At 51.0% G+C, this 24,426-nt stretch overlaps 7 annotated features.

Annotated features, from left to right (window-relative positions):
• Positions 308-809: an enhancer, noted in NCBI's record as "H3K4me1 hESC enhancer chr1:18879379-18879880 (GRCh37/hg19 assembly coordinates)". NCBI's record gives its function as "activates a minimal SCP1, AML or CMV promoter by ChIP-STARR-seq in primed H9 embryonic stem cells {active_cell/tissue: H9 hESC(primed)}" and the evidence as "EXISTENCE:reporter gene assay evidence [ECO:0000049][PMID:30033119]".
• Positions 810-1,309: an enhancer, noted in NCBI's record as "H3K4me1 hESC enhancer chr1:18879881-18880380 (GRCh37/hg19 assembly coordinates)". NCBI's record gives its function as "activates a minimal SCP1, AML or CMV promoter by ChIP-STARR-seq in primed H9 embryonic stem cells {active_cell/tissue: H9 hESC(primed)}" and the evidence as "EXISTENCE:reporter gene assay evidence [ECO:0000049][PMID:30033119]".
• Positions 4,794-5,301: an enhancer, noted in NCBI's record as "OCT4-NANOG-H3K27ac-H3K4me1 hESC enhancer chr1:18883865-18884372 (GRCh37/hg19 assembly coordinates)". NCBI's record gives its function as "activates a minimal SCP1, AML or CMV promoter by ChIP-STARR-seq in naive H9 embryonic stem cells {active_cell/tissue: H9 hESC(naive)}" and the evidence as "EXISTENCE:reporter gene assay evidence [ECO:0000049][PMID:30033119]".
• Positions 5,302-5,809: an enhancer, noted in NCBI's record as "OCT4-NANOG-H3K27ac-H3K4me1 hESC enhancer chr1:18884373-18884880 (GRCh37/hg19 assembly coordinates)". NCBI's record gives its function as "activates a minimal SCP1, AML or CMV promoter by ChIP-STARR-seq in naive H9 embryonic stem cells {active_cell/tissue: H9 hESC(naive)}" and the evidence as "EXISTENCE:reporter gene assay evidence [ECO:0000049][PMID:30033119]".
• Positions 19,300-19,799: an enhancer, noted in NCBI's record as "H3K4me1 hESC enhancer chr1:18898371-18898870 (GRCh37/hg19 assembly coordinates)". NCBI's record gives its function as "activates a minimal SCP1, AML or CMV promoter by ChIP-STARR-seq in primed H9 embryonic stem cells {active_cell/tissue: H9 hESC(primed)}" and the evidence as "EXISTENCE:reporter gene assay evidence [ECO:0000049][PMID:30033119]".
• Positions 22,575-23,153: an enhancer, noted in NCBI's record as "H3K4me1 hESC enhancer chr1:18901646-18902224 (GRCh37/hg19 assembly coordinates)". NCBI's record gives its function as "activates a minimal SCP1, AML or CMV promoter by ChIP-STARR-seq in naive H9 embryonic stem cells {active_cell/tissue: H9 hESC(naive)}" and the evidence as "EXISTENCE:reporter gene assay evidence [ECO:0000049][PMID:30033119]".
• Positions 23,154-23,731: an enhancer, noted in NCBI's record as "H3K4me1 hESC enhancer chr1:18902225-18902802 (GRCh37/hg19 assembly coordinates)". NCBI's record gives its function as "activates a minimal SCP1, AML or CMV promoter by ChIP-STARR-seq in naive H9 embryonic stem cells {active_cell/tissue: H9 hESC(naive)}" and the evidence as "EXISTENCE:reporter gene assay evidence [ECO:0000049][PMID:30033119]".

A 24,426-nucleotide genomic window follows, 5' to 3' on the forward strand; every position in this document is an offset into this window, starting at 1 on the left:
TCCCCTTCCCGGACCCTTCCCATTAGCTTTCAGAAATGTTCTGCCCTCTCTCTTTTGTCAGGACACCTTCCCTTGAGCCCTCATGGCTCCCACACCTGCCTCTCTGTCTCCTCCCATCAGCTGCTTAGCCCCAACCCCAAAGGCCCCCACCCACCAACCTCACGTTGCCAAATCCAACAGGCGCCTGTCAGCCTACCCATCGGGAGCTCCCAGCAGCATTTGGCCGGTGGAGGTTCCCCTCTTCTTGCAACGTGCTTTCCCGGCATCTGCACCTCCCCTCCCTGGTCTCTCCTTCTCGGTCTCCCCAGCTGTCCCTGCCCCTCCACACAACTCCTAAGGAGTGGCCTTCAGGACTGGGCCTAAACCATTTTCTCCCGGAGTGATTTCCTCCATGTGCATGGCCTGAAATGCCACCTGCTCACTGATGACTCCGAAATTTCACCTGTGCATGAGGCACTGACAAAATCACAAGCTTGGTGTCTTTAATCTGTTTCCTGACCCCACCTGGATGTCCCAGGGGCACCTCAAACTGGCTGTAACCGGAACTTCTGATCTTGTCCTGGGATCTTCTTGGCCACCCCTCAGACTCCCCACCTCTAGCTTCTCCCACCCCAGCACTCTGTCCAGAAACCCACACCCTCTGCAGGCTGCCTGACCCCTCCGCTGGCCCTGCCAACCCTGTCTCCAAAAGCATCCTGGAACCATCCACTGAATCGCTGCCACCCCCACATAGCCCGAGCCACCATCATCTATGGCTCAGAACTGCACAGGCCCCAGCTGTGCCCTCTGCTTCCCCTCCAGCTCTCCCTCCAGTCCCTCTCCACAGGGCAGTCAGAGGGGCACTATGAAAACAAAATCTAGTTCGTGGGGCTGCTTCTCCCCACTTCAGCAGCTCCCTGACCCCGTAGTGTGGCTCTGAGGCTCTGCCGATCGGCTCTGCATCCACGTCCCTGGGCTCACCTCTCGCTCTTGCCGTCGACACATGGTACCCCCTTCAGCCAGGCATCCTCTTGCCACAGGGCCTTTGCACGTGCGAATCCCCCTTCCTGCCCCAGCTCCAGTGCCACTGGCTCACTGTCCCTTATTCTCAGGGGTAGGAAAGTCTCAGCTCTAGATGAAGTCAAATGACCCCATCTTTCAACTTCTCCAAGGCCTTCCTCCCTTTAAACCAATCCAAGCAATGTCTCCTTCCTCCCTGGACCGAGTGCATCATGATGAGGTCGAGAGCTCCATCCATCTCCTCGACATGATACCTGGCACTTAGCACTGTGCCCAGCACCGAGCTCATAATGGGTACCCAATAAATCCTCACTGGGTGAATAAGTGACTTAGAACAACCCTCAGAGCTCTCTAGGGGCTGCCTTGGGGCACAGTCAAGTGAGGAAGCTGGGCAGGAATTCTCTCCATTCTGCAGATGGGAATACTGGGGCTCAGAGAGGAGTGGCAACTTGCCCTCAGAAACACAGTTAGGATATGGTGGGCCATGACACCGAGCCAGGTCCATTCAGCAAGCCCTGGGGCTCAACCTATATAGATCCTGGTGACCTCCCTCCCACCTGACTTTGACAACCAGCTCCAATTAGAGTAGCATCATAAGCTGTGATAGATCCACAATTGGTTATAGATTTAACTAAGCAAACCATGTCCCAAACCGTCTATTGTGTAATTGGGCGCATAAGACACATTTTTCTTTGCCGTTCAGTTACAACTTAATTTGCCAGGTCAGCAGTTCTGCCTAAAGTCACGGGCAGCAGCCTGGTTATGAATATCAACTGATTCTCCCAGCACTGCTCAATGAAATGGAATTCATCAGCACTTACCCAGGGATGAGTGTGATAGAGGAGGAAACTGAGGCACGGAGAGGGGAAGTGACTCACTCCAGGCCACACAATCAGTAAGTGCTGGAGCTGGAACTGGAATTCAGCTCATGTCTCTCTGGCCTCACACCCGACACCTCCCCTACTGCCCCGCACTACACATGACTGCTTCATTTGGTTTTGATTTTTTTTTTTGTAAATATAAGGCTTCTCTGAAACGAACTGCTTCCCTACATCTCAGGTCCAGAAAATAAGCATCACTTTATATCCAACTAGATTGTAGCACTTAGTTACCATGTTTTTGGAGTTGTTTATACCCATCCCCTTTCTCTATCCTGCACTCCTAGCCTGTGACCGGGAGCTCCTGGTGGGGGCAGGGACTGTATTTATCTTGGCATCGAAGGTGCCCTGCACAAGTTTAACCTGAGGAAGCCAATCCCCACGGGTGCTTCCTGGATGGAGTCGTTACTTTCAGAGCAGTCACTTTGTATATTATTAATAGTGATGGCGATGAAATATTTATGAATGAATGATGGGATGTTTGAAATTTGCTTTAACTTAATAACGGACAAGAGGAGAGGATGGGGGTGTGAAGGGGACAGAACTGAAGAGGGGTTGGTGGCGAGTGGGGCTGGGGACTGGGTACATGGGGGTCCTTAGACACCCTGTCCGTTTTCATGGAAGTTCAAAATTCTCCATAGTCAAAATATTTTTAATTAAATATCCTTCCCAAAATAATACTAATCATGGCAATGGGAGTAGCTAAAAGTGAAGTAAATGTGATCATTTGTTAATCACTGCTCACGTGCCAGGCTCTGTGCTGAGATTCACACGTGTCAGCTGATTCCATCCTCATGTCACTGCTATAAATATTTTGTCTGTGTTGCACCCAGGAAGCAGCAGGTCACAGACAGAGATCTAGAGATTCAAACCCAGACCTGTCAGGGACCAACGTCCACAGTCTCTACCCACAAGCCACATTGCACATGGCCTTGACGCTGTCAGTGATGGAGACATTCTGGCCTGTATTTTGGGAAGGGGCCTCCGAGCCAGCACCTTTCCACTGGGGGCCTGTACCTTTATCCTTTAAAGGGAGTGATGCTGATTTTCTGAGTCATCCAGGAATCACTTGGAGCTAAAATCTCATGGGCCAGGAGGGCTGTCAAGCTGGACAAAACTGCCTTAGGCCAAGACAAGCAGCAGTCATGAGCGCCCGGGCCTCCTGGCGCCAGGCTGCCACAGCTCTTCCTCTTTAATAATTCTGAAGTTCCTCCCGCCACAGGTGCCCCTGCTTCCACCCAGGTTCAGGCCTCAGCATTGCTCACCCAGGTCACCCTCTTCGTTGGTCCACCTACCTCCCACCTGGCCACAGTCTGTTCTGACCTCCCCACAGTCAACGGAGACTCAGTCTAGAACCCAAAAGTGACGTACCCTATCCCTTCCCAAGCCCTGGGAGATGAAGCCCAAATTCCTTAGCATGGCCCTGGGCAATCTACCTGCTCCCTATCCTCTTGCCCCTGACCTTCCAGCCTCATTTATCTTACTTGCCCACCTCTTACCACTCCCTGCCATGCATTCTCTTCCCCACCCCAGCCAGACCGGACAATCTGCAGGCATACAAAAGCCCCACATTCTCGTATCTGGATGGCTTTGCTTATCCTATTACTCCATGTAGCTGGGACAACACTTCCCTCCTTAGCTGCTACCTCTCCCAACCTGACAAATGTCTAATCATCCTCTAAGACTCAGCTCAGGTGTCACCTTCTCCAGGAAGCCTTCCCTGATGCCCCAGGCTGGGGACAGGGGTATGTTCCTACAGCCCACTATGCTTGCCTCCAGCCCTGCACAGCAGCCTGGGTTATACACACCTGCTGCTCTGTCTCCCACTCCAGCCAGGGCACTTCTCCAAGGCAGGGACCCATCTCTGTGCCCCCAGAGCCTAGCACTAGGCCTATGACACTGTAGCTGCTAAACAGAGCCAGGATGTGCAAAGGTAGCCCGGCCATTTAGTCTTTCTGAGCCTCGGTTTTCTCATCTGCAAAACAGGATTAATGGCACCTACTGCATAAGGATGTTTGTTCACTCAGCAAATATTTATTGAGCTCCTATAATGTGCCAGTCTCTAGGCCCCAGGTTGATAGCTGAGAGCAAAGCTGGACGAATTCTCATGAGCTGACATTCCAGCAGGGGGAGACAGACAAGAAATAAGACAAACAAATACAATGTAGAGCAGCAGTCCCAAATTTTTGGCACCAGGGACCAATTTCATGGAAGACAATTTTTTTCAGGGACTAGGAGATGGGTGGGTGGGAAGGGATGGTTTTGGAATGATTTGAGCACCTTACATTTATCGTGCACTTTATTTCTATTATTATTACATTGTAATATATAATAAAATCATTATACAACTCACCATAATGTAGAATCAGTGGCAGCCCTGAGCTTGTTTTCCTGCAACTGGATGGTCCCATCTGGGGGTGATGGGAGACAGTGACAGGTCATCAGGCATTAGATTCTCATAAGGAGCTCACAACCTATATCCCTCACTGACGCAGTTCACAGTAGGGTCCGTGCTTCTATGGGAATCTAACACCACTGCTGATCTGACAGGAGGAGGGGCTCAGGCCGTAATGCTCGCCCCGCTGCTCACCTCCCGCTGTGCAGCCCCATTCCTAACAGGCCACGGACCAGTATCAGGAACTGGGGACCTCTGATGTATATAGGATGTCACGTGGTAGTGATGAAAATGAATCAGGAAAAGAGCACTAGAGATTTAGGGGAACCCGGAGGCAAAGTAGCCCTTTTTTTTTTTTGAGATGGAGTTTTGTTCTTGTTGCCCAGGTTGGAGTGCAGTGGCACAATCACAGCTCACTGCAACCTCCGCCTCCCGGGTTCAAGCGATTCTCCTGCCTCAGCCTCCCGAGTAGCTGGGATTACAGGCACGTGCCACCACACCTGGCTAATTTTGTATTTTTAACAGAGATGGGGTTTCTCCATGTTGGTCAACCTGGTCTTGAACTCCCGACCTCAGATGATCAGCCTGCCTCGACCTCCCAAAGTGCTGGGATTACAGGCTTGAGCCACCGCACCTGGCCCAAAGTAGCACTTTTAAGTGCTTTGGTCAGGAGTGGCTTCCCTGTGAAGGTACCACTTAACTGGCATCCTGGAGCAGGTGCGGGAACGGACTGTGTGGGTGTCCTGGAGAAGTCTAGGCAGCAGGAAGGAAGGGCAAAGGCCCAGAGGTGGAGCCTTGCCAGGGACAGGGTGGGAGGTGGAGAAAGGAGGGTGGGGAGGAGAAGCAGGCCGTGGTAACCATGGTGATGAGTCCTGTACTCCGAGTTCAATGGGAACTCATTCTGAGCAGCGAGTGACACAATCCGATGGCTGGGCTGGCAGGGAGTAGGCGTGTGAGCACTCAGCCCGGTGTCGGCACACAGAGGTCGCTGCAGAAGCCTAGCTGTGGCTGTTCTTAGAGCAGCAAGCAGCGTTCTCGCCCTCATCCTGATTACTAAGGCATGAATAGTGCTGCTTCTGATGGCCGTTTCCGGAAACGTTCTGCACACGGGAGCTTCTCTTGAAAGAGCCTCGGCCCTCAGAGGCGGCTTCTTTGAAGGACAGCCGTGGTTGTAATGCGTGAACCCTGCTGCGCCTCTTTAGAGCAACACCAAAGTCTCTTTACCTGATGCAAAGGCTCCATGAGATGACTGGGGAGCCCTGCCTGGGAGCTATTTACAAGCTGGCTAGGGACAAGAGAGTTGAAAGAATGGCCGTATTGAGCAGAAGACTATACCACCAGGATGAATTCGGGGTAATCGTGAGCCCCAGCGTGTGTAATGCGGGACGGGGGCAGTGGAGCCCAGTGGGGAGGTGCCTACTGGGGCTGAGATCATCGAGGGCGAATGAGGCTTCACCTCTGCCTAGAAGGTCTAGGGTGGGGGAGGGACAGCCTGGGCTCGCCAACCCACCTGTGCAGGCAGGCAGTGGAAACTTCTGCCAAGGAGATCACCCCTTGTGCCTGACCCTCTGACCCAGGACAGAGAGCAAGGACCGTGAAGACCTTCTCCTGGAGGAGGATCGGGATGAGGAGAAAAAGGAAGACAGGAAGGAAGAGGGGGAGAATGGAGGGACTGCTTTTAGAGCAAAAGGTATCTGGAGGTGTCCGGCAGTCCGATGGAGGAGACAGCCCTTGTGCTGGGGAGCTCCCAATCTGATGGGGGAAGCACGCCACCACCTAACTCTTTGCCCTCTGCCTTCCTTCCTGGATGTATCCCAGAAGACTTACGGGCGCCGGGGGCGGGGGCGGGGCGTGAACCATCCAAAATGAAATATCTTCTTTCAGAAATTGAGGCCAAGAAGTGAAGCAAAAGCAGAAGGTAGCGACAGGTTGCTGACTTCTACAGAAGTTTTTCCTAAGGGGATGAGCGGGGTTTGTTTTTAAATTCAAGGAGAACCACAGGAGCAGAAATAAAACGAACCTCAGCTAAACCCAGAGAAAGATTGGCCAGACTGCCGCAGCAGAGCTTTGTCTTCACATGGTTTGGGTATTTTTTCTAATTATAAAGTTAAGATGTGCACTTTCCAGAGTCCAAAAAATGTATAACCAAGAAGACGGGGGAAGAGTCCCGTAACATTTGTTTGTTACCTTTCTTTCTCCTTTTTATTCTATGCATTTTAACATGGTTGAATCACGCTGCATACCTCCTTTCATTTATTCATTGAAGAGCAATTTAAGTCTCTCTTACATACCTGGTACTGTTCTGGGGATGGGGGATACTGCAGTGAACAAAACAAGCCCCCTGCCCTCGTGGAGCTGAAAGTCTACTGAGGGAGACAGGCAAGACACAAATCATTCCACACATAGAATATGTTCAGCAAATGAGAACTGCTATAAAGAAAATAAAACAGGAAAACGACGGAAAGTCACCGAACGGCTTGGGGCAACTTAGTCAAGGTGGTAAGGGAAAGTCTCTTCTAAGAAAAAACTTCTTTTTTGTGAGATGGAGTTTTGCTCTTGTCGCCCAGGCTGGAGTGCAATGGTGCAATTTTGGCTCACCACAACCTCCGCCTCCTGGGTTCAAGCAATTCTGCTTCAGCCTCCTGAGTAGCTGAGATTACAGGCACCTGCCACCACACCCGGCTAATTTTGTGTTTTTAGTAGAGACGGGGTTTCCCCATGTTGGTCAGGCTGGTCTTGAACTCCCAACCTGAGCCCAACCATGGAAGAACCAACCGTGAAAAGATCCAGGGGGGAGGCACTCGGGGTAGAGGGCACTGCGGGGGCAAAATCCCAGGGACTGAGATGTGCTTGGCATCTTCAAGGAACAGAAAGAATGCCAGTGTAGCTGGAGGCATGTCCCTGTGCTATTATTAAACACTCAGGAAGAACTTTTTAGACATCCAGGGGCTCTGAGCCTGGATTGGATGATCAGGAGTATCGTTCTTGAGAAGACACGAGCATCCCCACAGCCTGCATTTATCCCAGAATTGGAGCATGAGGAGAGGATTTAGAACCCGTCTGCTCTCCAGCTTCTCTTACTGGAGGAAGGAAGAGAAGGTGGGCATTTCCCACTGAAAAAGCCTTCGGCCCTCACAGGGGGCCCATTTCAAGGGCAACCGTTGTTGCAATGCGTGAACCCTGCAGCGCCTCTTTAGAACGACACCAAAGTCTCTTTACCTAGTGCAAAGGCTCTGCGAGATGACTGGGGAGCCCTGCCTAGGAGCTATTTACAGGCTGGGTGGGGACAAGAGAGTTGAAAGAACGACCATACTGAGCAAGATGAATTCAGGAGAATGATGTTGCTTGAGAGCTGCCAAATGCCAATTCTGCCAGATGCCATTTAGTGCTGTGAAAATCTTAATTCATTTCAACCTCATGGCAGTCCCATGAAGGAGATAATGTTATTCTCCCATTTTTCTCATCAGGAAACAGAGGCTTAGAGCTGTGAAATACCTTGTCCCAGGGCCAGGCACAGTGGCTCACGCCTGTAATCCCAGCACTTTGGGAGGCCGAGGCGGGCAAGTCACTTGAGGTCAGGAGTTCAAGACCAGCCTGGCCAACATGGCAAAACCCCATCTCTACTAAAAATACAAAAATTAGCCAGGCGTGGTGGCAGGCACCTGCAATCCCAGCTACTCGGAAGGCTAAAGCAGGAGCATTGCTTGAACCCGGAAAGCGGAGGTTGCAGTGAGCCAAGATCATGCCACGTGGATTGTTGTACTCCAGCCTGGGCAACAAGGTAAGACTCCATCCGCCCCCCACCACCCCCATAAAAAAAAAAAGGAGAAGAAGCGAGAACAAAGACAGCAGACATACCCCAGTGAAGCCTGTACTGCCTGTTTGAAGGCTCTGATCCTACATCAGGACAAGCCATGGGAGGATAAAATTAACTTCTATTGGCCAAGACCAAGTGGTGTCAGCTCAGCACAACCTCACCAAACCTCACCTCTGAACCTGTGGTTGTAAGGCCGGCAGGGGGCCCTGCTCGGAGAGGAACCATGCAGATGCCCTGGATGAGAAAAGTCAGGCACTGCACCCAACCACACACCAGCCCAGCAGCCCTACCTCGCCTCCATACAGAGCAGGAAACAGTGAAACACCACAGGGAAAAGAATGAGACAGACCTGGAGTTTAGTAAACAAACACACGGAACAGATGGATAGGTGGATGGACGAATGAGTGGATTCCAAGTAGAGAGCTCCACATGATGACAGATGTGATAACTATCAGAGATCTATCAGAAAGAGGGGAGTAAATTATATATATGTATGACTATGCTTATATGTCAGATAGATTGACAGATTTTTGAGATACACAGATTATATGTTTGAGGTAGATGAAAAAATTCAAGGGTGGACTGGAGCCCCCATTCACATCAGCCGGTGAGTCAATCCCGGGCATCTCTTCCCGACTCTGTTCTGTAACATCATATGGGTTGCCTGAAATCAGCCTTGATGGGAACATTTACACCAGAGAAATGGGCAGATGCTACAATCAGGGCTATATTTTTTCCAAGGGCTGATGTAGCAGCACATGCTGGTTAGATATGCTGTAACAGATTGGTAATTGGATATACCTCAGATAGATTGTATATACAATGCACATATATGAGACAGATTACATATGCAAGGTACATAAGTTACATTTCTTTAATAAATTGACAAACATAAATATATATATATATATATATACCTAAATATAATTTACATTTGACTGAACCTCATGAAATTGCAGTTCTTCTACTGTTTTTAGTCTACCAAAAAAAGGCACTTTCATAGGATTATACCTAGTAGACGAGTTATAAATGTGTGTGTCCCTGTGTGTGTAATCGTTAGAAAGCACCCGGGACTGAGAGTCAAAGAGGAGACAGGGACACCCGGGCTCCAGGAACTACTCCACCACTTAACTAGCTGTGTGGTCCCAAGCAGATGGCTAGCCTTCTCTGAACCTCGGTTCCCTTGCTGGGAATGTGAGGGCATTGACAGCCTCACCTCCAGGGTTGCTGAGGGGACCACAGGAGGGCACAGCCCAGCGCAGAGCCCCCAGCAGGGCTTCCTGGGAGCCTCTCAGGCCTGCACTAGCCCCCACAGCACATTCCCACTGCAGGTCGGCCCTGGGCATCTGTGTGACCTCACTGGATCTCCAGAGGTCTCCGCCTGCAGAAATGGACTCTCCCTAGGGGAAGCTGCTCCTTTCCTGGTACGCACCCCTCCCCATGTCCCCCAGTCAGAGTGAGGATGCGCCAGCTGACAGATTCCCAGCCCCGGGGCCATGCTGAGTCTGGCTGGGGGAGTGACACCCCTCGGCCATCAATCAACGGAGCCATGACCAGCACCGGTCTCTAGGAGAATCCATCATCATTTTCCTGTTCACCCAGCCCCTCCAGTCCATCCAGCAAACTCCCTAAGGGGAGGGGCCAAAGGGAGCCTTTCCAGCAGGACGGAGGCAGAGCCAGGCACTGGCTGGGGCTCTGGTTCTAAGTGTGCTGGGTGTCTGTGGGCAGGGCCACTTCCTTTCTGGGCCTCAGTTTCTCTTCTGTATATTTAGCCTAAAAACATTTTTTTAAGACAGGTTCTCACTCTATTGCCCCAGCTGGAGTGCAGTGGCACGATCAGGGCCCACTGCAGCCTCAAGCTCCCTGGGTTCAAACAATCATCTCGCCTCAGCCTCCCGAGTAGCTAGGATTACAGGCATGTACCACCCCACCTGGCTAAGATTTTTTGAGTCTTAATGGAGACAACGTCTCACTATGTTGCCCAGGCTGCTCTCAAACTCCTCAGCTCAAGCAATCCTCCTGTCTTGGTCTCCCAAAGTGCTGGGATTACAGGGATATGAGCCACCATGCCTGGTCCTAAAAATATTTTTAAATCAACTGAATAAAAACAAAAAAAAAAAAACCCTTCCAGCTGAAGAAAGCTGCTTGTAGGTGGATCCAGCTCTGGAGAGAAGAGATTACAACCCTGCCCTTCACAGAAATCAGCTCTTGGGGATCTTACCTTAGTAACTGGCGTTAAGGAACAAGTACAGGTTCAAACTCTAGCTCTGTGACCTACCAGCTGTGTGACTTTAGGCAAGTTATTCAACATCTCTGAATCTCAGTCTCTTCATCAGTAAAATGAGGATACTAACACCTGCCTCACAGGGTTCTCATGTGGATTAAAAGACATAACCATTAAAAATGATGACATCAGGCCAGGCGTGGTGGCTCACACCTGTAATTCCAGCACTTTGGAAGGCTGCGGTGGGTGGATCACTTGAGTTCAGGAGTTTGAGACCAGCCTGACCAACATGGTGAAACCATGTTGCTGCCTGGAATGCTGCTAAATTTACTAAAAATACAAAAATGAGCTGGACGTGGTGGCATATACACCTGTAGTGCTGGCCACTCAGGAGGCTGAGGCAGGAGACTCGCTTGAACCCAGGAGGCGGAGGTTGCAATGAGCTGAGATTGTGCAACTACACTCCAACCTGGAAGACAGAGAGACTCTGTCTCAAAAAATAAATAAATAAATAAATAAAATTCTGCCCATTTTAGAGCACTAGGCTACTTGCCAGCTTCTGTGCCATGAACTTTGTGTACCAGCTCATTTCTTACTACAAGGATACTGTGAAGCAGGTCCTATTATTCTGCCCATTTTACAGAGGAGAAAACTGAGGCTCAGGAAGATGAAGTGACTTGCCCAAGGCACACAGCTGGCAAATGGCAAATCGGGATTTGAACCCAGGTAATCTGGCTCACCCAGAGTGGGTGCATGTTCTCACCCACTACACCACAGCAATAACACTTGTAAGATCTCTGATGCATAGGAGGGGTCCTATCCAAGTCAGTTACTGGGGTAACCATTGTTAAATTTTCATCCTTTATTCACTAGGCTAACAGGACCTTCCGGACTGAGACATTTCCTCCAGGACTCAGCCTCGGGGCTTTTGGACCAAGGCTGTGAAACAGAAGGAGTCTATCCTAGTCTTTTGAAAGCCTTGATTGGAAATGGTTTTGCTGCTGCTGCCCTCTATCAACAGGCTTGCCCTGAGCCTAGGGCAGCTTAGCATCCCTTCACCGTGTTGGGGACATTTGGGGCTGTGCAGAGATCTGGGGCAGGATGCCAAGGGGAGGCAGAAACAGGTAAGCTTGGTGCGCAGAGCCTCAGCTTGGCCTCCTGAGCATCCACCAGAGAGGAGAGCAAGGGCGGGGGGCTCTCAAGCCCATTTCACCTCAGACCCTACAGGAAACTAGTTTGCAGATGCAGGGAGAAATCAAAAGCATGAGGCTGGGAGCAGTGGTTCACACCTGTAATCCCAGCACTTTGGGAGGCCAAGGTGGGCAGATCACTTCAGCTCAGGAGTTCAAGACCAGCCTGGCCAACACGGTGAAACCGCATCTCTGCTAAAAATATGAAAATTAGCCAGGCATGATGGTGCATGCCTGTAATCCCAGCTATTCGGGAGGCAGAGGCAGGAGAATCACTTGAACCTGGGAGGCAGAGGTTGCGGTGAGCCAAGATAGTGCCACTGCATTCCAGTCTGGGTGACAGAATGAGACTCCATCTCAAAAAAAAAAATAAAAATAAAAAGTATGAGCTTTGGGCATGAGAGAGATTGGGAATCAAATTCAGGCTGTCCACTGGCCAGGAAGCCAGCTGTGTGACCTCAGACAGGAGAACTCACCTCTCGAAGCCTAACTTCATCCTCAGTAAAGTGGGGATGTTAATGGCAACCTTGCAAAACTGCAACGCACAAAAATGCCTGGCCCATAGCAGATGCTCAATAAATGGTAGCTGTCACCATTGATTATTTTAGTTTGGCAAACCACTGATTCTGAGCCAATTACAGTCAGCCCACTTGAAACCCAGCAGCTGTTGGCCAAAGTCTGTCTGTCTGGTTTCAATATACCCAGGGGCTTGGGTTCAACCAATGGCTTTTGGGGGAGTTGGTTGAGTTTCGCTGCTGGTTATTTGCAAAGTATCTGACTGCTGAAACCCAGCCCAGCTGGCCAGTTCCTCAAAGAACCATCTCTGGACTGAACCATGCAGGCTGTGTCGGGAGAGCTGGCTGTTTCTCGCACATCTGCAGAGCAGCCAGCTGTAGAATGGAATTTAAGCCCTTCCTTTTCAAACACAAGAGTCTGGCTTGAAAATAAAGCCCAGCTTAGCCCCAGAGGCAACCAGTGTGGCACTCAACCTGTATTTACAGGGGAAGGGGAGGTGCTAACAGTTCGGGACTCTGCTCCAAGCCTGTCTCTTTTAAAAAGCCACTGAGCAGCTACCTGGCTGTAGAACATCCCACTTGGGGTGATCTGCCTGGAACGCTGCTAAATTCCAAACCAATATTGAAATCAGCCTTCATAGTTAGGCAGGGCATCCTGGGCTCATGGAAAACAGCCAGAGAAGGGCCAGTTTTTTTTGTTCTGAGCAGACCCCAACCCCACTGGATGAGCCCCATTTTCTAGTGACCAGCTGAATGCAAGGATGCTGCAACACAATTTGGAGAGGAGTTGAAGAAGGGAGCCAGTGTGCTGGGACTCTGGCAGAGGGGGCTAGGAGGGACACTGATGTGGCTGAGAGAGGGAAGAAGCAGGAGGCTTGGGAAGCAGTGCGAGTTTTCTTTCCACCTCTGCTGTGTGATCTTGGTTACTCTGCTTGCCCTCTCTGGGCCTCTTCTGCCTAAATGAAATATGACCATGAGCTGTATGAGCACCGTGGCTGGGCATTGTTCAATGCTGTCTCTAAAGCATCTGGCTCAATGCTTAGCACATAGTAGGCCCCCTATAAATAATAACTGAGTGAAAATGCCTCTCCCTCCAGCACTTCTTCATGTAATTTTCCCAAAGGCAAGCCTTTGATTAGAGAATCATTCTGTGTCAGTACAGACTGTTCTCAGTGCGAGAAACAGTGTCAGTATGTATCTGATTTTTAAAAGCATTGATCTCCAGCCCATTCCGATCCTAATGAGGCAGAGAAGAGAAGAGAAGCCTTCATTCTCGCATTCCTCTCTGGAATTGCTCTCCTGCCCCTGCCACTGCAGGCTGACAGCTACTGAAGGCAGACAGTACCTCGGGCCCCAAGGCCAGGACTGCAAACCCAAATGCCTACAGGACTGATGAGGTATTGGGAGAGTGTGGGGCCCAGTGAGGTCTGGGGCAAACTGGATTCTATCCACCCCATCCACAGGAGCACCTCCTATCAGCTCCTGCCCATCATTACTGCAGGAAATACAAGCCTGATACAGCCAGCCCTTATAATATTTCTAAGATACAAATATAGAGTTGTATGTTAAATCACTTAATTTTAAGAGTCGACAACTAATTCAACATTGAAAAAGAAAAATTACTGAGTGAGGCAAACACATTTTGCAGGCAGGATTCAGCCCAGCCTCTGAAGTCTTCTGGGTAGTGGATAGGAACCTATTCGAAGAGGGAAGACTCAGCTCTTGCCCTAAGGGACATGTCAGTCTGATGATGGGGACCCAGCTCTGCCCTTGGGAATCCTTCAGTTGAGACGAGAGAGGCAAAAAGAGACAAGAATTCCAGATACTTCCAGATTGGCCCAAAAAATGTGCGGATGAATCTCACACAGACTAAGGCCACAGCCACTGGGAACTACAGGGTAGAGAACCAACCTGGACCAGTTTGGGGTGAATCGGGGAAATGCCTCTGACACTTTCCTACAGGGTCTTGAAGAAAAGAAAGGATGTAGATGGTGAAGGTGGGTGGCCCAGGTGAGGTGAACAGGGGAAAGCCAGGCAGAGCAAGGTGCTAGGTGGGTAGCAGGTGCACCTGGCCGCTGAATGGAGAGGCGCAGTCTTAGAATGTCTGGGACAGAAGGGTTGCTGGCATGGCCTGGTCTCATGGTCCCAATACAAGATGGGAAAATAGAGGTTCAAGGAGGGGAGAAACTTGCCCAAGACCAGGCAGGGCACTGATAACATGGACAGGATGGAAACGAAGTCACAGGAGATGAGGCTGGGTGGGAAGGGGCCAGGGAGCCCACCTGAGGGATTGCAGTTTACCGCATGGCAGTTTACACGGGGGAAAAGCTTCTGGCTGATGACCCCACCTGCCCCGCTTCCTGGTCTGTGAACTGGAGCCAGGTGGAAGGCACCATCTCCAGCCCATGGCTGCCCTTTGAATTAACCTTTAGACTGCACAGATGAATGGCTCCATCTATCTTTCACCCAACAGGCTCCAGAAGTCTGACAGAGGGAGCAAGCGTGGCCCAGAAAGGGCAGAGGTCCCGGTAAGAACAGGAAGGATGTCCCAGAGACAGGAGGCCTTGCCTGCCAGGACTTAGGGATCCATGAGGGGTGAAGGGAAAGCTGCATTGAGCAATTTCAGGGGTGGGCCAGGACCTTCATGGTCATGGCATCCCTGACTCCTCTCATTGACCATGCAAGGCCAGGACTGTCATGACCTATCCCACAGATGAGGAAGCAGAGACTTGCCCACAGTCACCCAGCCAGAAACGGCAGCTCTGGGCTTAGGATGTTTCGAACAGACCAGCCAGGTGACGCCACACCCTGGTGTGGAGCCACTCCATGACCCTTGCCTCTTTCTCCTGCTCCTGACCCTCCACCCTTTCCTCACACAAGGTCTTTGCACTTGGCGTTCATGCCTTCTGGAGCACTCTCCCAGCATCCTTCATACAGCTGGAGACATTCAAGAATCTGCAACAGTTGGGGGAAGGGGAGACAGAACTCAATCCCAAGGGGACACTGGGGGCTGGGTCTCCAGGGCCTCCCTGTGCCAGGCCAAGCATCTTGGACAATTGGGAGCTGGCAGAGGACTTTTACCCTCTGTGCTAATTCAGATACTCTTCATTACAGCCTTTAAAATTTCCTAAATTGAGGTATAAAATGCATCAAGGGTACTGAACTTAAGTGACCAGTTCAACTTCTGACATATCCACATCTGTGTCCTTTCCACCCATATCAAGGCAGAGATCATGTCCTGCACCCCAGAAGATCTCTTTGTGTTTCTTTCTAGTCAAAGCTACCTTCCTCTAAAGGTAACGCGATTCTGACTTCTCTCGCCATCCATTAGGAATGCCTCTTATTGACTTTCATCTGCATGAAACCACACAGCATGTGGCCTATGGCAGATGGCATTTTCCACAGCTGGCTTCAACAGTATCTCCCATTCCCCATACTCTTTTTGCAATGTGGTGTTGATACTCCTCCCATAGAGAACTGAGTTCTGTGTCCCCTCCCCTTTAATCTGTGTGGACATTTATCCCCTCATCTAATAGAGCATAGTGAGTGGAATGCTATGTGAGTTGAACAGGTGATAAAAAATGTCACATACTTCACCGTGCTCTCAGGGGACAGTTGCTCTTGGATCTGGCCACCATACTATAAGGAAGCTCAAGCAGCCTGTGGAGGGGCTGATATAAGAGAAATCCATTGCCCTGGCTGAGCCCCCAGCCCACAGCCAGAAACAGCCTGATAGCCATGGGAGTGATCCATCTTGGACGTGGGTTCTGCAGCCCCAGTTGAGCTCCCCACCAACGCCAATTGAGCAGAAACAGGCCATCCCACAACATCCTGCCTAAATTGCCTCTTTTGAGTGAAATAAATTATCATTTTGTTTTATGCCACTAACTCTGAGATGGTTCATAAAAAAGATTTTAAGCAGGAGAGTGATTTTGAGTAAGAGTTTTGCCCTTGTATATAATAAAAGACACAACATAAATTGGCTTGAGGGAAAAGAAAGGAAAGAAGAAGAAGGGAGGGAAGGAGGGAAAGAAAGAAGTAAAGAAAGAAGGATGGAAGGAGGAAGGAAGGAAGAAAGAAAGAAAGGAAAGAAGGAAGGAGGGAGGGAAGGAAGGGAGGAAAAGAAGGAGAGAAGGAGGGAAGGGAGGAAGGGAGCGAACGAGAGAGGGAGGGATGGAGAGAGGAGGGGATATATTGGTTCTCATAACTAAAAAGTTCAAAGAGGGTTTGTATTGGTTTCCTAGAACTGCTATAACAAACAACTATGGACTAGGGGCATAAAGAACAGATAGTTATTGTCTCACAGTTCTGGAGGGTAGCAGGCCAAGGTCAAGGTGTCAACAGGGTTGGTTCCCTCTGCGGGCTGTGAGAGAGGGATCTGTTCCAGGCCTCTCTCCTTGGCTTGTAGTCATCCATCATCTTTCTTCACGTCATCTTCCCCCTATGTATGTCTGTGCGTCCGAATGTCCCCCTTTTATAAGGACACATGTCATATTGAATTAGGGGCCCGCCCATTCCAATATGACCTCATCTTAACGAATTACATCTGCAAATGAGCCTATATCTAAATAAAGTCACATTCTGAGATTCTGGGGGTTAGGGCTTCAACATAAGAAGTTGGAGGGGGTAGGACACAATTTATCTCCTAACAAGGCTAATCCAGTCATGGCTAGGTCCAGCCATCGTCAATGTCACCAGCATCTCTACACCTCCCGAACTTTGCTTTCCTATTTGGGCTCATTCTCAGGCTCCATATGCTGACAAGATGTTCCAGGCCTGCATCCTCCCGGGCTCATGTGCCTGGGAGAAGAGCACTGCCTCTCTCAACAGCCATTTTGAACACACGGCTCTGGCCAGCTTGGGGCCGGTGCCTGCCAATGACGGGGACAGGGCAGGAGAGTGGGGATGGCTCCGTGCCAAGCTCTCCAAGCCTGCCACACTCTTGCAGGAATGGATCCACCATCCCCAGGTCACTTGTGTCACGTTCCCATTCCAAGAACAGCATGCTCAACACCCAGCCCTGAGATTAAAAGGAAAAATAATATTTAAAGGCACTTATTAAAGATACTCAGAAGGCCCTTCGAATGTCAAACAGCTGTGAGCAAACCCTAATTTGATGATCTACGTGTTAATGAATCCCAGACATGCAGATTAAATTCTCTTTAAATTGCACATGGTTTTAAAATGCATTTCTCTCTGGCATGTCTGGTTCAGAACAAGGTTAGTGAAACACCTGTGAGGCAGGTCCGCCGATCTGGGGATGGAGCAGGAGCTGGCGATGTCCCTGGCTCAGGCCTTGGGGAGCCTGTGAGCTATATAAAGAAAAAGACCCACTGAGAACCGCATCGGCAGCAATGTGGACTGGAGCATGCAGCTGAGGGCAGCTTGCTGCGCGTGGGTCTTTCACTTAGCAAATATTTACAGAGCTTCTACCAGGCGCAGGCCCTCTCCTGGGCATTGGGGATGCAGCAGTGAAGACGGAAGCCGCAGCCTTGCCCTTACCTCCAGGTGAAGGGGACAGACAATAATGAGAGAGGTAGATTGCTAATCAAGGGAATTCAGAGTAGAATAAGTGCTATTAAGAAAAGAAACAACGAGATGATGAGGAGCAGGTTGGCACCAGGAAGACTGGGGAAAGGAGGTGGTTCGAGAAAAGGGGTGAACCATCATGAGGCTGGGGGACGGCACAGGCAAGAGCACCGGCACCGACCAGGCCTGGCCTGGTCAAGGTGCCAAAGCCGGCCTAGAGGGAGTGGGGAGGTGGCATATGGCAGACACAGGGCAAGCCAAGGACTCCACGGCAGGTGATATGTGTCTTCTGAACAGCAACCCAGATGTACCTGAAAACGTAGTACATGGAGACCAAGGTGAGGAACAGAACAGGAGCCTTAACTCAGCCACGGCTGGGACATTAAACATACATGTTGGCTGGGTGCAGTGGCTCATGCCTGTAATCCCAGCACTTTGGGAGGCCAAGGTAGATGGATTGCTTGAGCTCAGGAGTTCGAGACCAGCCTGGGCAACATGAGAAAACCCCGTCTCTACCAAAAAATGCAAAACTTAGCTGGGCATGGTGGCACATGCCTGTAGTCCCAGCTACTGTGTAAGCTGAGGTGGGAGAATTGCTTGAGCCTGGGAGGTTGAGGCTGCAGTGAGCTGTGATTGTGCCACTGCACTCCAGTTGAGAAAGTGAGACCTTGTCTCAAAAAAAAATAAAATAAAAACACACGTAATATACCAGAATGAGGCATGGCCAGGTTACTGGGTGCTGGTCACAAGCTGGGGGCTGAGTCCACTCTGGAAAAAGTCCTCAAGTTGTATTTGGGGGACCTGTACACCTTTCTGTCTGTATGTTATTCTTCAATAAAATGTGTACCAAAACGATTACACAGTGTAATGTTTGAGATACTGGATATGCTAATTACCCTGATCTGTTCACTGTGCATTATAGGTATTGAAACATCACTTTGGACCCCATGAATATGGACCATTATTTTATTTCAACCATTAAAACATAAAATTAAAAAGACAAAAACTAAAAGAAAAAAACAAAAAAAGTATGTACATGAGAAATAGCAGCCTGCCTTTGGCAAGAACGTGGACCCACAAAAGGATAAATCTTAGACATTCAAATGGTTGTCTAGGAGGGATGGGAATCAGGGATGAGGAGGAGCAAATTTTCTAAAACTTCCTGGAGCCCCCAGACCCCGTAGCAAGTGACTTTGTGTGTAACTCACTCACTGGTTTTGCATTCTCAACAACCCCGTGATCCATTCAAATGGAGAGATAGGCACTGATTGGACCCCTGTTTAACAAATGCAGGGGCCGTGGTGGCACATGACTGCAGTCCCAGCTATTCAGGAGACCAAGAGGGAGGATCCCTTGAGTCCAGGAGTTCGAAACCAATCTGGGCAACATAGCGAGACACACCCTACAACACTGTCCCCATGTCATAAATAAATAAATAGCTGATGAGTTCTTTGTGCCACTGATAATGAATGAACGGGTGAGTGAATGCCGGCGAGAGGCCGCGGGTGCCTGGGAGTGGCTGTGAGGCACAGGTGGGGAGAAGCTGACAGACGCTTAAAGGTCAGTGCTGTGTGCTCTCTCATCCCTCCCCTTAAGCCCCGCAGACACCCCCAGCCCACCTCTGGTCACAGTGGGACCTGGCCCTCCTATCACTTCCACAACCTGCACCTGCTAGGGTGGCAAGATGACGGATGAGGGCTTCTGCGACCCCAGCCACTGGCATGAGGAAGGGAGCAAGAGGAAAACTCCCCCACCATCCCGTCCTCCATTTTTATTTCTCTCTGAACCTTGAAAGACAAGGGTTCCGGCAAATCGCTCCCGCTGGCTGATAGAGCCTGCAAGTGTCTTGCGTCGCCCATCCACATCCTTGAGTCAAGTCCTGCCCTGCTGCTCAGACTGACCACCCTTACTTCTGGCCCAGGTCTGGAGGGCAGATATCTCAAGACCGCAGAGACAGGGACTGAGCTGTTCATCCCACCTCGATGCCTCTGGCAGGACACAGTGGACAGGGATCAGCTCCTTGTTGGTTGCCAGGTCAGTGAGCCCAGCCACCTGCTGCCCACCTGCTCTGGGGACAGAGGAATCAGGAGCGTGTGTGGCTGAGGTCAGACTTGCTCACTCATTCATCACGCTCTGCTTCTTTCCTTCCTGCACACCTTGTAAGCCGTGGTTCTCTTACGTAGAAATTAGTCGACTTATTTTTTGTCTTCCCACTGCAGGTAAGCTCCATGAGGGCAGGGCCCAGGGCCTGCCCTGTCACAGTGGGTCCCCAGGTCACTCATCCCCACCTACCTCATGGCAGAAACTCAATCAATATTTGCTGAACAAGAGAGGGCCTCTGTGAAGGAGGCCAGGTTATTCCCATTTATAGGTGAGGGGACCAAAGCTCAAGGGAAGAGCATACGAACCCAGGACCTGGGAACTGCAAGCCTTGTATTATTCTCCATGCAGGCTGCCTCTTGGGAACCCTGCTTTAGAAGGGACAGTGCAGTCTAAACTGGTGCATGCAAATGAAATGCAAATGACAATGCAAATATCACTGGCTGGCTTACACAATGTCCTGGCCTCTGGGAGGATTCTCTGAGTGACACTGTCGGAAGCTCTGCTGCAAACTGGTCCCTCCAGGTGGCAGCTGGAGTGGGAATAGGAGAACACCCAGAAGAGACAGGGGGAGCAGTTACAACACTGGTCCTGACCCCAGCCACTCCATCATCTAAGGTCTTTGGAGGGGTGCTCACTGTCCAGTGGGCTCAGGCCCTACCCTCCCCATTCTGCAGAGAAACCAAGGCACACTGTTGAGGACTGGAATGGAATGGAGCTGAAACAAGGACCCCACCATGATGAGGAGGATCGGAGTTCTCAACCCCTGTACCCGGCTTTATGCATATAATCTCATTCAGTCCTGACACACCCTTTGCAAGAGGGATCTGCATGCTTCATTTTGCAGATGAGAAAACTGAGGCTCAGCAAGGTCAGCTAACTCGCCTAAGGCTACAGAGCTGGCAAGTGTGGCTGGCATCAATGCCCATTTAAACCTCTGCACAGTTCCGCCTCGCTCATCCCTGTATTTCCTCGTCCTCCTCACCCACACACACCCATGTTGTTCCAAGGATTGCCTCTCTGCTCCCGCTGTGCTCCAAGACCCCCCAGTCCTTCCAGCCTAGAGGAAGCCCTCCTCTTCCAGGGAGCCCTCCCTCATGTCTTCCTCTTTGGGAAGCCCTGCAGCAGGGAGAGACTGTGCCCGCAAATGTGTGGTTTCACTTCCTCTGTATTTCTTGCATGAGCCACCGGGCATGGTGGCTCATGTCTGTCACATCTCTCTATTTCTTCAGCCCCCACCCTAGTCAAGCCACCCTTATCTGTCCCCTGGGAGACCCCCACCACGTCTCCTCATTCCATCTCAGCCACACGGGCCTCCTTCCTCTGTTTCCAACACACCAAGCTATTGCTGCCTCAGGATGTTTGCACCAACCGTTCCCTCTACCTGAAGCCCAAAGCCTCTGGCCTTTGTTCAGCAGTGTCATAATTTGAGGTCTCAGCTCATAGTGCACCCCTAAGAGTAGCCGCCGCCCCAGTGGCTCCTTATCTCATCCCTCTGTTCACGTCTCCTGCAATCCACGATGATCTGTTTGTTTCTTTCTTTGTCTCCCTCCCTTAAGGTGTGAGCCTCAAGGGCAGGGACCTTGTCTCTTTAGTTTGCTGCATATTCCCCGCACAGAGGAGGCACTCAATAAATATTTGTTGAATAAATGAATAAATCAACTAGTCAATTGAACAATCAATCATGAAAGAGGGTTTTAATGTTTCGAAGAGGCTCTGGGTCCAGAGCCACCATGAACAGCCAGCACCAAAATCCCAGAGAGGTGACAGGGCCACTCTGGTCTCACTCAGTCAATCATATGGTCAGTCAACAAACTCTCACTGGGCTTGCTCATCCAGCAGGCACAAAGATGCAGCAAGAAATACGATGGGTGTCCACCCTGCCCCCTGAGCTCGGTGTCCAACAGAGATGTTGAATGGCAGCTGACAAAACCACTACTTCGACCCAGGTCCCACTTGGGCCAGGACTCTCCACCACCACTGCCCTGAGTCCAGCCTTGGCAAGACTCTGAGACCCGGGTCTAGGGAAGCCATTCATTGACTCAATTTCTGCTCACTGGGAAGCAGTAAAGTGATTAGCAGTGTGGACCTGGGTTCCAATCCTGTCTCTGCCACCTACTAAGAGCATGACTCTCTGCAATGTGTCTAGGCCTCTGGGCCTCAGTTTACCCATCTGCAAATGGGGACAGTAAAGGCATCTCCCCCATGGAGTTTCTCCAAGGAGAAGGGGTCAAGAAGGACCTACCGTGGTGCTGGGCACATATGTGAATGCTAGTCACCACTACTGAGCTGCCCGAAAGGAGCCAAACTGGGGCCCGGGGACACAGAGTGGATTCAGACACTACTGCAGAACACTCCCAGACCACAAGGCCATGTGACAAGTGTAACAGGACAGAGTTGTGGGGAGCCTCAGGGAGCCGCAGGGCCTGGAACCCACCCTGGCAGCCAGAACAAGTTCCCAAGCCTATTAAGCTGGGTCAAATCGCCCTGCCCACAATCCCATCTTGTTTTTGTTACTTAAAAAAAAAAAAAAAAAAAATTCTGGCCGTGTGCAGTGGTGCACACCTGTAACCTCAGTGCTTTGGAGGGCAGAGGCAGGAGGATTGCTTGAGGCCAAGAGTTGGAGACCAGACTGGGCAACACAGTGAGACCCTGTCTCTACCAAAAATTTTAAAAATTAGCTGAGCGTGGTGGCATATGCCTATAGTCCCAGCTACTCAGGAGGCTAAGGTGTGAGGATCACTTGAGTCCAGGAGTTGGAGGCTGCAGTGAGCCATGATTGTGCCACTGCACTCCAGCCTGGGCAACAGAGCAAGATCCGTCTCTTAAAAAAGAAAAAATTGAAAACCGAAGCCAGGATGAGGGTGTTGTTGGCTCAGTCCCTCCCTGCCCATGTCCCCTCATCGGTTCTGAGGCCTCACCAGGTGGGCAGCAGCTGAGACCTGGGATCTCCTCTAGGAGCTGGAGGGGTCTCCTGGGTAGAGGGAAGGAGAGAAGAGAGAAGCCTCTGCTTAAATCCAGGACCTCTCGTCCTACCAGGGGAGCACACAGGTTTTCGCAGCCCAGCTGGCTCAGGAGGGGCTCTGTCCTCCAGAGCAGGGCTACCCGGGCCCAGCAGGGGCTGTCAAGGGGGAACCTCATTTTAAGCCACGGAGCCCTTTCTGCTCATGAAAAGGAGCCTGCAGGTCCCACAGACAGAACAGAGGACTAGAAGTCGGGAGGCACCAGGCAGCCTTGCCTCCCCAGAAACTAACCAATCCACCAGCTCCCTGTGCAAATGGGGAAACTGAGCCCCAGGAGGCACGGGAGGGTGACTTACCCAAGGTCACACAGAGACAAGACTGGCACTCAAGTCCCCTCGCCCCCACGGACTCACTGCATAAGAGGGTAAAAACAGCACCAAGCTCTGGATGAAGGGGTTGGGAGTGAGTGACATCTGGCCAACCCGACCCCCAGCTCCGTCTTGCCTAGGGCAGCCCCCAGCCCAACCAGGGACCCAGCTCCTTGGGACGGATTCGCCCAGGCCTTGACTCTGCTGGCCCCCAGTGGCCATCTGTGTTGTTCTTCCAGCACCAGGTCCCTGACTGAGCTGACAGCTGGTCCAGGGGCTGAGCCCTGGAGTACGACAAAAATATGCAGGAATGAGGGAGCGGGAAGCCGAGGTGAGAGGCCACAGAAACAAGCTTGGCCTCCTCCCCTAACTCCTCCCCACAAACACAAACCTGAAAGAGACGCTGGGGAGAAAGTGGAAGCCAGTCAGTGTGGGGTCAGGAGCACACCTCTGGGGGTCTTTGGACTCAGACTGAGGCTCCAGTCCCGGCTATGGTGGACGGTAAAAGGCAAGAAATTATCCTCAGCTGTCCTCCCACACCAAGGTGCCGTCTATTTCCGCGCCTCCCCCCCCACCCCCGAATCTGGCCTACCCTTGGTTTTGTTTGACAAGTAGAATGCAGCAGGAGTGGTGCTGTGTGAGTTTTAAGGCTGGGCCTTAGGAGACCTGCCTCAAGCCCAGGTGTGGTGGCTCACGCCTGTAATCCCAGCACTTTGGGAGGCCAAGACAGGCGGATCACCTGAACCCAGGAGTTTGAGACCCGCCTGGGCAACATAGTGAGACTCTATCTCTATAAAAAAATTTTTAAAAAAATAGCTGGGTATGGTGGTGCACACCTGTAGTCCCAGCTACTCAGGAGGCTGAGGTGGGAGGATCACTTGAGCCCAGGAAGTTGAGGCTGCAAGTGAGCTGTGAATGCCCTGCTGTGCTCCAGCCTGGGTGACAGAGCAAGCCCCTATCTCACAAAAAAGAAAAAGATCCACATAATAAGCACACAGTAAACAAACAGGTCATTTTCACCAGGTCATCACTGTCACCACCACTGCCATCATCATCAACACTCTCATCGCCACCATCACCACCATAATCATCATCACCATCATCACCAACATTATGCTTTGTGACCACAGAAAACTAGCTGAGCCTCTCTGGGCCCAGGAAAGTGGTGCCTTCCAAAGCGGGCAGGACCCTCAGCAGTGGAGATGAAATGTAGAAAGCTCTCTTCGCTCTCTCTTCAGCCCTCCCTTCAGCCCTCCCCCACAAGGACCAGCACAGACGAGTGAGTTTCCACCCCGTCTTCACTTCTGGGCAAAACTCCCTGAACATGTGGAAGACAGAGTCAGCTTTTTAGCATCTGGGGCTTCCTTCCCCCACATTTGAGCTCACCAGAGCCCACCGGCCTCAGAAAGTTGTCCCTGATCCATTGCCCCCACTTGTCTTTCTGAGAA

This window comes from Homo sapiens, chromosome 1 (assembly GCF_000001405.40).
Source record: "Homo sapiens chromosome 1, GRCh38.p14 Primary Assembly".
NCBI lineage: Eukaryota > Metazoa > Chordata > Mammalia > Primates > Hominidae > Homo > Homo sapiens.